This window comes from Homo sapiens, chromosome 4, assembly GCF_000001405.40.
Source record: "Homo sapiens chromosome 4, GRCh38.p14 Primary Assembly".
Lineage (NCBI taxonomy): Eukaryota > Metazoa > Chordata > Mammalia > Primates > Hominidae > Homo > Homo sapiens.
Genome location: NC_000004.12, coordinates 8,233,734 through 8,248,601, shown reverse-complemented (window position 1 = coordinate 8,248,601; position 14,868 = coordinate 8,233,734). Strand labels below are relative to the sequence as shown.

Genomic DNA, 14,868 nt, shown 5'->3' with positions numbered 1-14,868 from the left:
TGCCCACCCAGATTAAGGGTGGGTCTGCCTTTCCCAGCCCACTGACTCAAATGTTAATCTCCCTTGGCAACACCCTCACAGACACACCCAGGATTAATACTTTGTATCCTTCAATCCAATCAAGTTGACAGTATTAACCATCATACATAGTGTCTATCTTCTTGATATTCAACATTGCGTAATTGTTATAATCGCATTTCCCAACTCACTGTTCCAGGTCTGTGGGAATGGAATTGACTTTTGTTTACTCTTTTCCCAGGAAACTTGGCCTCTTAGTGACCCTAAAAGCTGTCTGGGATGTCTTGGATTTTCTGGGTAAACAACCCTGTCATTTGTGAATCATGTCAGTTTGTTTCTTCTTTAACAATTCTTTGAATCGATTTCTTTTTCCTTGTTTTGCTGCGTTGTCTGGGACTTCCAGTATAATGTTGACCACACGATGAGCCTTGCTCTTGAACTTGAGTGGAATGCTTCTTACGTCCGCTGTTAGGTAAAGCAGAAAGCCCTGGTCAGGTTGAGGTCGACACCATCTCTCCTTTGCTAAGAGCATTGATCACCAGTGGGACCCCAGAGCATAGGTGGCTCTGGAGGTTCCTTTGATCTGTCCCTACAGGGTCAGGGGCTTGGGGTGAAGCTCCCATAAGGCTGAAGGCTGAGCTCACAGTGGTCCCAGGGCCTCCTTCCCTCCAGGGCACTTCCCCCGGCACAGGGAGGGCTGTCCCAGAGCATGTGGGATCCATGTGGGAAGGTAACATCACTCCTCCTCCGTCACCATGGCCCATCCCGGGTGGGGCCCCCGAAGCTTGTGCTGGAAACAAGGCTTAGGTCAGAACCAGCCCAGCTTTGCACTCTGCCCTGGATCCAGGCCCTGTCGGGAACGGGTGTGTTCACAGGGCCCGGCAGTGTGAGCCGTGACCACACAGCGGGGTCCTCCCTGCTGGCCTGGAGATAGCCAGTCTGCTGTGCGTTCCTGCATAGGAGGTGGGGATGCACACAGGGGCTCCCCTTTGGGGCCGACAAGGGTCAGGAGGTGAAGGGAGAGGCTTGCCCCTGGGCCTCTTGGAGTCCCTGAGGCTCTGGGGACAGGGCAAGGGGACTGGCACCGGCTATCCTCCCCAGAGGGGCTGGGCCTGGCCTGAAGCCTGGGGTGCTGGCATTGTGAAACTGCCTCCCCTCTCAGACTTCTCTGGAAACCCAGCCCTCCCCATGCGGATGAGTCCCCAGAGGTCTCCTCATCCTGCAGTCTGGGCTTATCGGAGCCGTCACAGACGAGGAGCTGCCGTGTTTGCTATGGGAGGGACGAGGTCGGCCCTGCTTCCTGGAGACCTCCTGGCCCTGGAATTCTCTTTTCCTGGGATGCCGCACAGACCCAGGCCAAAGTGGCCGGGGTTGTGAAATCCTGTGTTTGGCTCTGGCGGGTTACCGAGGGCTGGCCTGGTGAGCACGGCAGCGGACGAACAGGGTCCAGGACAGGAGGCCGTGCTCGCAGGACGCCCACGCCAGGGCTCAGGACGTGTGCCCTGTGCTCTGCAGAGAAGGCCACCTGAAGCCCAGGCTGTCCTGGGGTCACACAGCTGGGTGGAGGGTGGAGGCCAGGGGTCCCAACACCTGCCCCCCTGCTCCCCGATGGAAGGTCATTACTGTGAGTTGTCCAGGGTCTTGGCATGTTGAACAAAACGCACAAAGCAACAAGAGAAGCAACAAGAGACCAAGCAACAGAAGAACGGAGCAACCAAAACACATTTCCTGAAGAAGCAAAAGTGCAATTCACAGAGTGGGAGCGGCTCTAGCAAGCGGCTTGAGGGCCCCTCAATTCACGTGTTTATTAAGCTAAAGAACTTGGCAACACCCCTGGGTGCCCTCGAGAGGCCCCCAGTTGGCTACGCCCTATGAAGGACTGGCCCGCAGTCCATCAGAGGTGAAGTGGACACTTGGCCCGCGGTCCATCAGAGGTGAAGTGGACACTTGGCCCGCGGTCCATCAGAGGTGAAGTGGACACTTGGCCCGCGGTCCATCAGAGGCTGCGGTAGAAATTTCTGTGTTGTTATCGCAGAAGCGAGGATGTGGCCTGGGTGCCGCCCAGTCCTGCCTAGAACCAGCTGCCCCTGCAGTTCTCTGGCTTACTCTAACTGGCCGCACCTGCTATTCCTTTGCTCATGCCCCAGCCCTTGGCTACCCCAATTCCCCATTCTCCTGCCTTACTCCTCCTTCTCCCTTCTTCCTTAATTCCTGGTGTGGGAGCTGAACGTGAAGACCTCAGTTTGAGGAGTGGACCTGCTGGTACAGGTAAGTGGGCAGGCGAGGAGGCGACCTCGGGAAGGGCTGCCTGGCTACCGCCCACCATGAGTCCTTCAGGGCTGGAGGGATGCCTGGGGCTCGGCCTCCCCATTCCTAGGCTTGGCCTTGTATTTGCTATCTATGCTGTGTACCAAATTATCACAAATTCAGCAGCCTAAAGCAACGCCCCTTTCTTGGGTTGCTTCTTGCATCAGAAGCCTCATGTGATTCTCTGCCCAGGGTCACCACAAACTGTAATTGAGGTGCCAGCTGGGCTGTGATCTCCCCCACGATTCAGCGTCCTTCCAAATTCACGTGGTTGTTGGCAGAATTCAGCTCCGTGCCATTGTAGGTCTGGGGTCCCGTGTGCTTGAGGGCTGCCAGCTGGGGACCGTTGAGCTCCTAGAGAGCCTGCAGCCCCTACTGGGCCGGCCTCTCTGTGGGGAGCCCACTGTTTACTGTGCTGTGCAGCCTGGAAGCTGTTTACTTCCAGGCCAGTAGGAGAATCAGAGAAGGCTGAACCCTCTTACACAGGACTCACTTGATTAGGCGAAGCCCATCTGCAATCATCTTCCTTTGAATAACTCCAAGTCAACTGATTAGAGACCTTAATTACATCTGCAGACCTCTTCACCCTTCCCACGTACTGCAACCTACTTGCAGAAGTGATAATCCTATCACAGCCCAGACTCACCTGTGCTGAAGAGGAAGGAGGCACGCAGAGTCAGTTTAGAATTCCGCCTGCCTGCACTTCCATCTGGGGGGAGGCATATTATTCTTTTCGCTGTGTTTTTCCATCAACCCTGGAGGACCTGACAAGCCCTGGAAAATGTGCTAAATGTTTCCTACGATGCTGTTGATCTTCATAGTAGCTCAGCAAGGTACATCTCATTGCCCCATTTTATAGCTGAGAAAACTGAGGCTCGCAGAGGGGCAAGGCATACGAACGGGAGCCCACTGCCCGGTGCTCTGGGTCAGGGCGAGTCAGAGAGAGGCAGAGCCTGGACTCAAGCCTGCTTCCTGCCCCTGAGCTTGCATAGACCCCACCCTGCTGCCGGTGCACAGGTCTCGCCAGCTGCCCGGCCTAAGACCCACAGCCTGCTCCCCAGGCCGGGCGCTGGACACAGGGCGTGTGAGTTGACTGCGGCCAAGCTCCCTGGAAACACAGTCTGGATCACTGATGGCGCCAACTGGAGTCCAAGGGCACCTTTATGCCCAAACAGTGTCACCCGGACACACTTCTCCACTCACGTGGGAGACCCTTGTGGCCTGCTTGAACCCCTCTGCAGACGGGGAGCTCACTTCTGCCTGAGGTGGCCTCTCCCATCTCCGGAGAACCCTGCTCAGGAGAGAGTTTGGCCTCACGCTGGGCCGTAAACCACCTCCTCTCAACTCCTGGGCTCCGTGGCGAAGGTAAGGCTGATGTAGACTTGCTGGGCACCCTTGGAATGGTGGCCTGTATGCTGCCCAATCCTGCCTAGAACTGGGTGGCCCTGCTGTTCCCTTGTGTGGAGATGGTGCTCTCTCCATTCAAGGGAACAGCAGCAGGTCAGCCAGTTCCCTTGGGATGCTGATCATTCCATACCCTTAGGATGGTGACCCTCCCTCTCTGAGCCTCGGCTCCCTCATCCAAAATGAGGGTCCAACTTGGACTCGGCCGATATTTACCCCTGGAGGAACCAGTACAGGGAAGGATGTGGGCTCCAGGAGAGTGCAGGCGGCTGTGCTGGGCGGAGCTCCCTTGCCTCTGAGTCAGGAGAGGGGGCTGTGTGACCTTGGGCAAGGCTCTTTCCATCTCTGTTCAGGGGAGAGTCTCCAGGGACCCCAACAAGGAGTGTGATTTCAGCTGCAGTCCCAGGAGCACCTCTGGGAGGGCCTGGAACACTCCTGGAGTTCCCTGCACCTGCCTGAGGCAGTTTCTGCAGCCCATGCAGTGGGCGCTTGCTGAATGTGTGTGGGAAGGTGACTGAGTTAACCTGGGGATCATGGCCGCCTCCTTCTAAAATTGGGGCAGCTGGCTTCTGGGCTGCGAGACCACTGGCTGCGTAGAGCTGGGCACGTGCCCACTGGACATCTCTTCATCTCATGCCTACTTTGCTGAAGGGGGTTGTTGTTGCGGCGGTTGTTGCCCGGGAACCAGCCTCCGACGGGCAGAGCAGGGCTGGAGACCAGTGGGCTTAGGCCTTAGCCAGCCGAGCCCTGACCTCCACCCACCACAGAACAACGGGACTGGCTGCCTGGTTCTGCACACCAACTCTGTGCCCCTCGTTTCCCATGCATTCTCTCCTCACTCTTGGAACCTTGGGGTAGGCTTTGTCTTTGGTGACAGATGAAGAGACGAAGGGTCTGAGAGGTTAAGCAAGTTTGTTACTGGAAAGGGGTCCCGACCCAGACCCCAAGAGAGGGTTCTTGGATCTCACAGAAGAAAGAATTCGGGGCGAGTCCATAAAGTGAAAGCAAGTTTATTAGGAAAGAAAAGGAATAAAAGAATGGCTACTCTGGCCAGGCACAGTGGCTCACTCCTGTAATCCCATAACTTTGGGATGCCGAGGCAGGTGGATCACCTGAGGTGAGGAGTTCGAGACCAGCCTGGTCCGACACGGCAAAACCCTGTCTCTACTAAAATACAAAAAATTAGCTGGGCGTGGTGGCGGGTTCCTGTAATCCCAGCTACTAGAAAGGCTGAGGCAGGAGAATTGCTTGAACCTGGGAGGCGGAGGTTGTAGTGAGCCGACATCACGCTACTGCACTGCAGCCTGGGCAACAGAGCGAGACTCCATTTCAAAAAAAAAAAAAAAAGAATGGCTACTCCATAGGCAGAGCGGCCCCAAAGGCTGCTGGTTGCCCATTTTCATGGTTATTTCTTGATCATATGCTAAACAAGGGGTGAACTATTCATGAGTTTTCCAGGAAAAGGGTGGGCAATTCCCAGAACTGAGAGTTTCTCCCCTCCCTTTTGAGACCTTATAAGGTAACCTCCAGACGTTGTCATGGCATCTGTAAACTGTCATGGTGCTGGTGGGGGTGTCTTTTAGCAGCTAATGCATTCTAATTAGCATATAATGAGCCGTGAGGACAATCAGAGGTCACTCTCGTGGCCACCTTGGGTTTGGTGGGCTTTGGCCGGCTTCTTTACTGCAAACTGCTTTATCAGCAAGGTCTTCATGACCTGTATCTTGTGCGACCTCCTATCTCATCCTGGGACTAAGAATGCCTAACCTCCTGGGAATGCAGCCCGGCAGGTCTCAGCCTCACTTTACCCAGCCCCCATTCAAGATGGAGCTGCTCTGGTTCACATGTCTCTGACAAGTTGACCTGGGTTGAGTGTTCCATAGCGTGTGGTTGTTGGAGCTTTTCTTAGGAGTAAGAAGTATTGTTAGTAGGAAACAGGCCTCTATTGGCCCTGGGGCTGGCACTCTGCCCCAGTATGTCAGTCTCATTTTAGTGGTGACCAAACTGGGGCTCAGAGAAATCAACTCCCTCACCCCGAACCCCCAGACTGTGAGTGGTGGGCTGGGGTTTGAATGTGGGGCTTGAAGACCCACCGTTTCCTCTGGTCCCCCATGCTCTGCTGCCCGAGAGGAACAGGATCCCAGGATCCAGGCCCCTGATGGCACCAGCCAGGGTGGGTGGAAATGGGGAGGCACAGTCCCAAAGCCCCCAGGACTCTGAGGCAGGTCGGGGGCTGAGAGCAACCCGGAACTGCAGACCCCACCCCGAGAGGAATGGCTGCAGGCCCGGCCCGGCAGGCAGGAGGTCTGTGTCCTCAGTGACCGTGACGACGCTTCCCGCTGCTCCAGCCAGGCCGTGCCGTCTTCATGTTTCCAATCATGCGGCCTCCTCTCCAATTCCCAAGCCCAACCCACAGAGACAGCGGTCTGGGGTCAACATGAGGTTTGTCAGCAGCTCTGAGCCACTGCTTCCCTCCAGCCCCGCGGCGGGTTCTGGAAAGCTCTCTGCTGCCCCCTGGTGGGGAAGCTCGGGGCGGGGCAGGGCTCCGGCGGCAAGCATGGGGCTCCCCTGTAGCGCTCCCAGACCCTCCTGGCTCTGCCACCTCTGCTGGGTGGAAAACCAACCCAGGCCTGGACCAGCAGTGGGTGCCTGATTCCTTATTATCAGAGCTCCGCTCACTGGCAAGTCCCTCTTCGGACCCCAGGAGAGGGGCTTGGGGGATACCAAGGAGGGGTAACTGCTTAATGAGGACGGGAGGTTTCTTCTGGGGAGATGAATGCCTTTTGAAACTAGACGGTGTGGGTGGGTGCACAGCACTGTGAGTGCACAAATGCCACCACATTATTCACGTTGAAATAGTTAATTTCATGCGATGTGAATGTCACCTCATTTTAAAAGTGTTTAAAAGAGGGGCCTGGGAGAGTGCAGTGTTTGTGAGAATCACGTGGGGCACCCACAATCTCTGAACCTCGGTTTCCTTGCCGTAAACTGGCGAAGAGACCGTGTGAGCCGTGTTTCCTGGGGCCAAGAGATTCCAAGAAGGAAAACCTGGGATTCCTGGGGACTGAGATGAGGGCCGGGGGCCGGAAGGGGAGGGGTACATGGGGAGGGCTGAGGGGCAGCCCAGAAAAGGCTTTCAACACTGGGCAGCAGCGTCTACACAGGCAGAGATCCCTGCATCTCACTTCCCACAGGACTGACCAGTGGCTGGAGGTGGGACTGGTCAGGCTCAGCCCAGCCAAGTCTGGGACCAGAGGACACTTAGTGGGGGATCCCCTGGGCCACCCTCACCGCCCTGTGGCTCTCCTGACACCACAAGAGAGGTGCAGGAACTGACCTTGGGTCCTAATGGGGGCACCTTCCTGGCAGCAGGCCGGCAGGGTGGTGTGGTCAGCGCACTGGGCTCTGCGTCTGTGTGATGGTGGGCCAGACAGTTAACCTCTCTGTGTCTCTATTTCTTCACTGGCGAATGGGGGCACTAGCAGCCCCCACCTCCGCGCACAGTGGCCTGAGGATTAAAGGCAAGGGTGGCACAAGACCTACGGCAAAAGCTCCGAGCAGCTGCCCAGGGAGTTCCACCACCGTCTCCCCTCTGGCCGCCAACGAAACCCAGGCTCATGGTGACCTGGCACAGGTCTGTTGGACTCGGGGTCCTTCTCATACCCAAGATCAGGACATAGCAGCAGGGCTGCCCCCAGGGAAGGGAGCTGGCCCCTAGACACGCCCCAGGAAGCATACTAGGGAAGGATGCCCTGCTGACTTCAATAAGTTATTGCAAAAAAAAAACAAAACCCATTTATTGCTATTTGGCCCCTGCGTTCGTGCCTCCATTTGCCAGAAAATGAGCCACCGGCGACACCAGGAGAGGCAGGAGACCCCCAGCCCTTGCACAAAACCCACTCCCTTGGATGCTGTCCTCAGCGAGGGTGGCTGGGGGCCAACCAGGGGGCCCACCCGCAGAGTGGCAGAGGAGGCAGGTTGACCCTGCGGACGTTGAGCTCTGTGGCGAAGGTCCTGGCCTTCTGGTAGAAGAAGAGCGACTTCTCACGGTCCAGGAGGAAGTTGTGGTAGATGGTGGCCAGCCGCGTGTAGATCTTCAGCTGTGCCTTCTTGTTGCCCAGGTCCACGGCGGCTGCCAGCGCCAGCTGGTAGTACCCGGCTGCATCAAACGGGTCCTGAAGGGGACAGGCCATGCTCAGCAAAAGGGGGACTCGGAGCCAGTCTCCCCAGAGGCCGTTCCTGTGCCCAGGTCATTCCACATGTCCGGCCAATGCTGGCTCACCCCATGAGCCCCGAAGCCTGTGACACTGCTGTGGGCTCAGCTGCAGGAGGTGGAGACGGCCCTGGCACCCCCTGGAAGGATTCCTGATTGTCCCTACACCCCACTCACCCCGAGCCTCCTGTCCCAGCCCCACCCTCTCTGCAGGCAGTGGCTGCTTTCCCCGTGGGCTGAGGTTGGGGCGGATCCTGCCTGCTCTGAGAGTTCCATGCAGGACCCATGGCTCCCAGCCACAGCAGGGGCACAGTGTTGAGTGACCCAGGCTTCCCTCTGGCCCCTGTCCATGCTGACCATTTCCAGGCCCTCCATGGGCCGGGCCAGGTATAAAAGCATCTCCCAGGTGTCCTCTCTGGGAATCTTCCCTGAAATATTGACGGAGTGTGATGCCCCAGACATCCACTCCCATTTTCAATGCATCTGTGGCTCAAACTCACCATCCCTGGGTTGGGATGCCACTTCCCAGACCTCCTCCTTGACCCTCCCATCCCCCACCCAGCTTCTCCCCAGGCACCTCCTCCACATGGGGGTCACCCAAGGGACCTCTCTAAGACCCAAGCTTGGCCCATTCCCCTTTACCATCTCAAGATGGCTCCCAGGGCCAAGGACAAAGTCTAAGATGCAGCAGCCCATGCCCTCACGGCCCCGCCCCACACACAGGGCAGGGGTGCGAGAAGGGCCCGAGTCACATCACTGCTCATCCAACGCCCCCCAGCCCCACCGAACACTGGACTCTGTGCCGGGTGCATGGCTGAGCCTAACGTCCCTGCTCCTCTGGGGGACCTGGGAGTGAACACTGATCACACAGGGTGGCCAGGGCTGTGGCAGAGGCAAGCCCAGGAGCCTGTGGGGGCCCAGGAGGCCCCAGACTCAGCCTGGGGTGGGAGGCAAGGGCTTCCTGAAGCGGGTGGCATCCCAACTAAACAGGAAGGAGCCAGCCAAAGCATATGTGTCTCTGTGTGCATGTGCCTGTGTCCGTGTATGCCTGTGTGTGTGCACGTGCCTGTGTGCGTGTGCCTCTGTGCATTTGCGTGTGCATGTGCCTGTGTGTGTGCATGTCTGTGTGTGTGCCTGTGTGCATGTGCCTGGGTGCATTTGCGTGTGCCTGTGTGTGCCTATGTGTGCATATGCCTGTGTGCATCTGCGTGTGCGTGTCCGTGTGTGTGCATGTGCCTGTGTATTTGTGCATGTGCCTGTGTGTACATGGGGCCTGTGCCTGTGTGTGCGTGTGCCTGTGTGCATTTGCGTGTGCGTGTCCATGTGTGCATGTGTCTCTGTGCCTGTGCCTGTGTGTGCTCATGTGTGCATGTCCATGTGTGTGCATGTGTCTCTGTGTGTGTGTGTGTGTCCCTGTGCGTGCAGCGTGCATGTGCATTTGCATGTGCCTGTAGTGCGTGCAGCAGCTAGTGGGTGGCAGGCTGAGCCAGGACACACCTAATCCACCCTATTCCAGGGCTCACTCTCACATGTAGACTAAAGGGGACCCCATTTTAGAGGCAATCGGCAAAGATGCCCATTTACCCCTGCCTCTCTGCCAGCCTTCCAGGCCCCATCCAAACCGGCTTTCTCTGCCACCTCTCTGGGCCCTGGATCCGGCACCTCTACACAAGGAGGAGGGTGTGGCCTTGGAAAGACAGCAGCCCTGGGGGAATTCCGAGGGGGCCTCCCTGTGGGAAGCTGGCCTGCGCTGACAGCACAGTCACCATGAGGCCCAGAGGGCTGTGCCCCTTGACCCCAGCCATGGACTTTGGCCTCTCAGGGACTACTTCGTCCTTTCCTTCCTCCTGGGTGGGCGGAGTGGGCAGCAGGCATGACTAAGAGAGATAAAGTCCCCTCTGGAAGGCCCGTCCCCTGGGTCCCAGGCCAGCCCCTGAGCAGTGAGCAGCGTCCCTCTGGGCCAGACACCTGGCACTTCCCCGTCTGGCTGGGACTTGGGAGGCCACAGGGACCGCTTCTGACCACCAGGTGTCCCCAGCACCGGGCGGGGGCCTCCCTGGCAGCCCCAGGCCTGCCGCGGGGGATACGGGGCGGGGTCTTAGGGTTGCCGCAGCTCCTCATGTTGTTCTAAGGCCCCCAAGAGCTCAGTCCCTGGACTGGAGCGCCCTGGCCCCCCAGCCCACAACGAGCACCGATGCAGTGCCAGTGTGATGCTGAGTAGGGGCGGGCGCCTGCTGGGCAAGGGGGTGGGGACATCCCAGATCCGAGTCTGCCGGTCCCAGTTCTCCACCCCTGCAGGGCTGGGCGCAGAGGGAGCACAGGTCCCAGCACCTCCTCTCCAGACAGACCCGACCAGCAAGGCCTCAGCCTGGCTGTCTGGGGCCCCGCCCCACTGCACCTGCCCTGAGCTGGGGTTTCCCTGTCTGTGAAGCAGGTGGTAAGACACCGGCCCCGCCCCACCCTGCCTGGGTGATGTGAAGATTCAAGGTGTCTCGGGACTCCAGGAAGGAGTTGCTCAGTGCAGGCTGGCACCCTGGCAGGCTTCCTAGCAGAGGCGCCAGGATTTGGGTTGGATGTTGCAACATGGATTCAATGTGAGGATGATGCCATCCCCCCAAATGTCCTTCTCCCTACCCTGTTTTCTTTGTTAGATACAACTTGACACTTGACTGCCAAGACTCAGCTTTGGTGTCCCCTTCTCCAGGAGGGCCCCCCTGACTACAATCCCCCTTCTTTACCGAGAGGCCACCATTGCCCACTCATGTATCAGCCTCCCTGGCTGAGGCTGAGTTCTTGAGGGTGAGGCCTGGCCGCTCGGGAGCTGGGTTGTGTCTGCTAACCTTGCCAGCTCCTCCAGCCGGGCGCAGCGCTCCAGGGAGGCCACTGGGCCATTCTTAAGGAAGGCTGGAACACATGCCTCAGGGGTCTGGGTGGAGATCCCACTCCAAGGGGGCCGGGAACACCCTGAGCCCAGCCCCTCCCCACCCACCTTCAGGTCGTAGAAGATGATGTCACCGAGCACCAGGTACACCTTCACGTAGTAGAGGGTCTCCTCGTCAAACTCCAGCGGCGAGTTGCAGAGCGACAGGGCCTTGAGGTAGAAGTGCTCTGCCAGCTCGCCATGGCCCAGTCGGTGTTGCAGGGCGGCCAGCCGGTGGTAGGCCACGCGCTCGTTCAGCCGGTCCCCTGGGGTGCAGGCCAAGGGGGCAGGTGTGAGGACGTGGCTCCCCGGGGCAGGCATGCAGACCCCGGCAGCACCTGGCTCGCCTCCAGGCACTGCGGTCACCTGGGCAGTTCTGGCCAGTCCCTTCCCAGCTCCCAGACTCACTTTCCCATCTACAAAGCAGAACTAATAAGGCCTGCCCCCATCTACCGTGAGGCTTTGGCAAAGTCGGACTTGGATGGCCCAGCTCTGTGCCTACATATAGCCACCTGCCTTTGCTCACTGTTTTTAACCAGGAGAGCCCAAAAGGCATGCAGCCCACGCGCTCCTGGGCACCAGGGCTCCAGGCAACCCACAGACATGACATCCAACTCTTCCTGGGTGTGTCATCATCAGAGTCCCCTACCTTGGGGAGTCACTGCGTGCCTGAGCTCCAGGTCCCCCCACAGATGCGCGAGCCCACCCAGGCTGTCTCCGGTGTCCTCCCCTTTTCAGGGTGAGTGCTGTGGAGCCTGCATTCAATGCATTCCCACGCGGCTGCACACCTGTGTACCAGGCCCTGGGCCACAAGGCGCTGGGGCATGTGGCCTGTCTGGGGCTCCCTCTCTCTAGAGGACAGACGACCCTGGCACAGCACCGGGGGATGCCCGGCATTAAGGGGCAGGCTGCTGGAAGGGGAACTGGGACTTCATCAGCCACAGAGCCGTGTGGTTGATGAGGGTGGGAAGGGCACAAGAGAAAGGGAATGTGCCACTCAGCCTGGCACATGCAGGGACCAACGAGATGTCTGGCATGTCTGGAAGGCAGAGGGCACACTGGGCAGCCCTCGTGGTCAGCAGGGGGAAGAGGCACAGGAAGCAGAGCTCAGCCAGGCAGGGAGCTCTGCACTGAGTGAAGGACCTCGGGCTGTGCCCCACGGCCGGACGGGGGAGCCAGCTGGGCAGATGTGCCTGCCTGGACAGGAGACCAGGAAAATCCGGCAGCTGTTTCGGCTCCTGCCCTGCAGACCTGGAGGCTGAGCTCTGGCAAAGTGTGGGTCCTGGCAGGGCAGGGGCTCAGGGGGCTTACCCAGGGTGATGCTGAGTGCTAGGGCCATGTGGGCAAACTCCAAGCCCTCCTGGGGCTCCTCCAGCGTGGCCAGCAGTGCCACCAGCTTGTTGCACAGCCGCAGCTCCGCCTTGCGGTTGCCCGTAGTCACTGCCAGGGGCAGGGCCCGGTCCTGCCACACAGGCAGGTGGGGTCAGGCTTCCCGCAGCACCCACCTTGCCCAGCGCCCTCCTCAGAGCTCAAACATGTGCTCGGAGCTTCCCACGCCCCAGCTACCCCTGGGCCTCGACACAGCTGTGTGCTCTGAGATAAAGGGCGGTTCAGACACCCAAGCTAGGGGCTGAAGAGTCACCTGAGGCCCATCCAGCTACACCCGGCAGCCTCAAACCAGCCCCTCCCGCCTGGGCACCAGGGGTCTGACTGGGGGGAGCCTGCACTCCTCTCTGCTCTAAAAACACGACATTTATCTGTGCCCAGGGCTGAGCCACACCATGAGCTCAGAGGAAGGGGGAAGCCGTCCCCGCTTCGGGGTGCATGCAGACCTGGGCCCTGGCCCTGGGCCTCCCACTGGCATGCCGTGTGTCCTTTGACGTGTCCCTGTGCCTCTCTGAGCCTCAGTTTCCTCATCTGTAAGATGGGGACAGGACTTCCCACTCAAGGTTGCTTGAGATCATCGGGTGCAAGGGTAAGGCCATTGCTGTGTCCAGGCCCCAAGTGTTTGTCCCGGGCGGGGGGCACAGTCAATATCATTCCCGGTGAAACCACTAGGAAACTAAGCATGTGCATGGGCGGCCCTGCCTCCAGGTGCGAGGGCTCTGCCCTGCCACACCTGTGCCTCAGCCCTCAAGGTGCCCCCCCTGGGGCCCACCCACATCAGCCCACAGGCCAGCTCACCCGGTAGAAGGACACAGCTTTCTCCCGCTCCCAGGCCCCGTCGAAGAAGATGTCTCCAGCCGCCTCAAACAGCTCCAGCCCCAGGTTGGGGTCGCCTGTGTACAGGGCCACGTTCTGTGCCACCTGAAAGGAGGCAGAAGTTCCCTCAAGACCCACACCTGGTGAGGTGGCCACGCCCACCCAGGTCGGACTCCCCCGCCCAGCCTCCTTCCTCTCACACACTGCAGGTGCAACTGAGCCTTTTTCAGACCCTGTGCATTAGGGCCGCCCCCACCGCTGGCATGGGGACAATGATCTCATGCACCCGAGTGCCAGGAGGTGACTGTGCAGCTGCAGCCCAGGAGCCCGACATCTGTGAATCCTGCCACCAGGGCTAGCCCTAGCCCACTCCCCCTGCACTCAAACCAGCCTCCATGGCCCCCAGATTGCTGGGAGCCCATCCCCTGGCTCCTTTCTGAGTTGCCACATCCCTGCCACAGCTCAGGACCCCACATCAACAGTGTTTGTGGGTGGGCTGGTCCCCTCTTGGCCATGAGCTCTTGATCCTTCTCCTCAGCTCAAGGAAGTATACAGCAGGTGCTCAAAAACAAAAGCTTCACCAGGCTCTTGGGCTTCCCAGTTTGTTCCAGATCACACTGTGTTTGGGAAAGCCTCTGGAAACTGCTGCTATGACAGATGCATTTTGTAAGGAGATTTGCCACATGTCGCTTGGAGCAAGTTCTTCTGTATGTTAACTGAGAGGCCACATTATTTGAGCATGTGCTGTATACCAGCAGGTGCTGGGCACTGTGAGGGGCTGTGCCTCTGCCCTCAGGGAGAAGATGCTGGCCATTGGGGGAGGATATGAGGGAACCAGTGGGAGAGAGGGGAAAGGCATACAACAGGTGCTCAGCAGTGGCTTAGGAATGAGTGGATGGATGGATAAATGGATGAGCAGATGTATAGGTACATGGATGGATGGATGGATGGATGGGTGGATGGATGGATAAATGGATGAGCAGATGTATAGGTGGGTGGATGGATGGATGGACGGACGGATGGACAGATGAATGGATGGATGGGTGGATGGATGGATGGATGGGTTGAATGATGTGTGTATGTATGGGTGGGTGGATAATGTATGGATGGATGGGTGGAGGGTGGATGATGTATGTATGTACATATGGATGGATAGATGGGTGGATAGACGAATGTATGGATAAACAAATGGACAGACAGACGAATGGAGGGATGGATTAATGGGTAGATGGGTGGGTGGATGGATGAATGATGGATGGATAAATGGATGGGTGGACAAACAGGTGAATGGATGGATGGGTGAATGGATGGATGATGGAAGGATGGTGGATGGTGGATGGATGAATGGATGGATGATGGATGGATGGATGATGGAAGGATGGATGGATGGATGAATGGATAAATGGATGGATGATGGAAGGATCAACAGGTGAATGGATGGATGATGGAATGATGGATGAATAAATGGATGGATGATAAAAGGATGGATGAATGATGGATGAATGGATGGATGGATGATGGATGGATAAATGGAAGGATGGATGGATGATGGATGGATGGATGGACAAACAGGTGAATGGATGGATTGATGGGTGATTGGATGGATGACAAAAGAGTGGATGAATGATGGATGGATGGATGATGGATGGATGAATGGAAGGATGATAGGTGAATGGATGGATGATGGAAGGATGGATGCCTGATGGATGGATGGACGGATGATGGATGGATGGAAGGACGAACAGGTGAATGGATGGATAATGGAAGGATGGATGGATGATGGATGGATGGATGGATGAACAGG

The 14,868-nt window shown here is 58.0% G+C and overlaps 1 protein-coding gene across 14 annotated transcripts in view, besides 6 other annotated features; it reads right to left on the bottom strand.

The window, feature by feature from the left end:
• Positions 3,457-3,958: an enhancer, noted in NCBI's record as "H3K4me1 hESC enhancer chr4:8246371-8246872 (GRCh37/hg19 assembly coordinates)". NCBI's record gives its function as "activates a minimal SCP1, AML or CMV promoter by ChIP-STARR-seq in primed H9 embryonic stem cells {active_cell/tissue: H9 hESC(primed)}" and the evidence as "EXISTENCE:reporter gene assay evidence [ECO:0000049][PMID:30033119]".
• Positions 5,981-6,542: an enhancer, noted in NCBI's record as "H3K4me1 hESC enhancer chr4:8243787-8244348 (GRCh37/hg19 assembly coordinates)". NCBI's record gives its function as "activates a minimal SCP1, AML or CMV promoter by ChIP-STARR-seq in primed H9 embryonic stem cells {active_cell/tissue: H9 hESC(primed)}" and the evidence as "EXISTENCE:reporter gene assay evidence [ECO:0000049][PMID:30033119]".
• Positions 6,135-6,264: a silencer, noted in NCBI's record as "silent region_15261". NCBI's record gives its function as "represses an Ori minimal core promoter by ATAC-STARR-seq in GM12878 lymphoblastoid cells {active_cell/tissue: GM12878}" and the evidence as "EXISTENCE:reporter gene assay evidence [ECO:0000049][PMID:35858748]".
• The window catches only part of SH3TC1 (SH3 domain and tetratricopeptide repeats 1), a 59,032-nt gene continuing 51,662 nt past the window's right edge, over positions 7,499-14,868 (bottom strand). For 12 of the 14 annotated variants that reach the window (XM_011513488.1, NM_001410712.1, NM_001318480.2 and 9 more), the window contains 4 exons: positions 13,047-13,169; positions 12,174-12,324; positions 10,932-11,128; positions 7,499-7,904 (listed from right to left, as the gene is read on the bottom strand). In XM_011513488.1, coding sequence (XP_011511790.1) covers positions 7,647-7,904; positions 10,932-11,128; positions 12,174-12,324; positions 13,047-13,169 — 729 coding nt within the window. In that variant the 3' untranslated portion in view covers positions 7,499-7,646. Of the gene's footprint in view, positions 7,905-10,931; positions 11,129-12,173; positions 12,325-13,046; positions 13,170-14,868 lie in introns of those variants that run through there. The other 2 variants (NR_134639.2, XM_047415794.1) reach the window with 2 other exon arrangements.
• Positions 9,012-9,870: an enhancer, noted in NCBI's record as "H3K4me1 hESC enhancer chr4:8240459-8241317 (GRCh37/hg19 assembly coordinates)". NCBI's record gives its function as "activates a minimal SCP1, AML or CMV promoter by ChIP-STARR-seq in naive H9 embryonic stem cells {active_cell/tissue: H9 hESC(naive)}" and the evidence as "EXISTENCE:reporter gene assay evidence [ECO:0000049][PMID:30033119]".
• Positions 9,871-10,731: an enhancer, noted in NCBI's record as "H3K4me1 hESC enhancer chr4:8239598-8240458 (GRCh37/hg19 assembly coordinates)". NCBI's record gives its function as "activates a minimal SCP1, AML or CMV promoter by ChIP-STARR-seq in naive H9 embryonic stem cells {active_cell/tissue: H9 hESC(naive)}" and the evidence as "EXISTENCE:reporter gene assay evidence [ECO:0000049][PMID:30033119]".
• Positions 10,085-10,134: a silencer, noted in NCBI's record as "silent region_15260". NCBI's record gives its function as "represses an Ori minimal core promoter by ATAC-STARR-seq in GM12878 lymphoblastoid cells {active_cell/tissue: GM12878}" and the evidence as "EXISTENCE:reporter gene assay evidence [ECO:0000049][PMID:35858748]".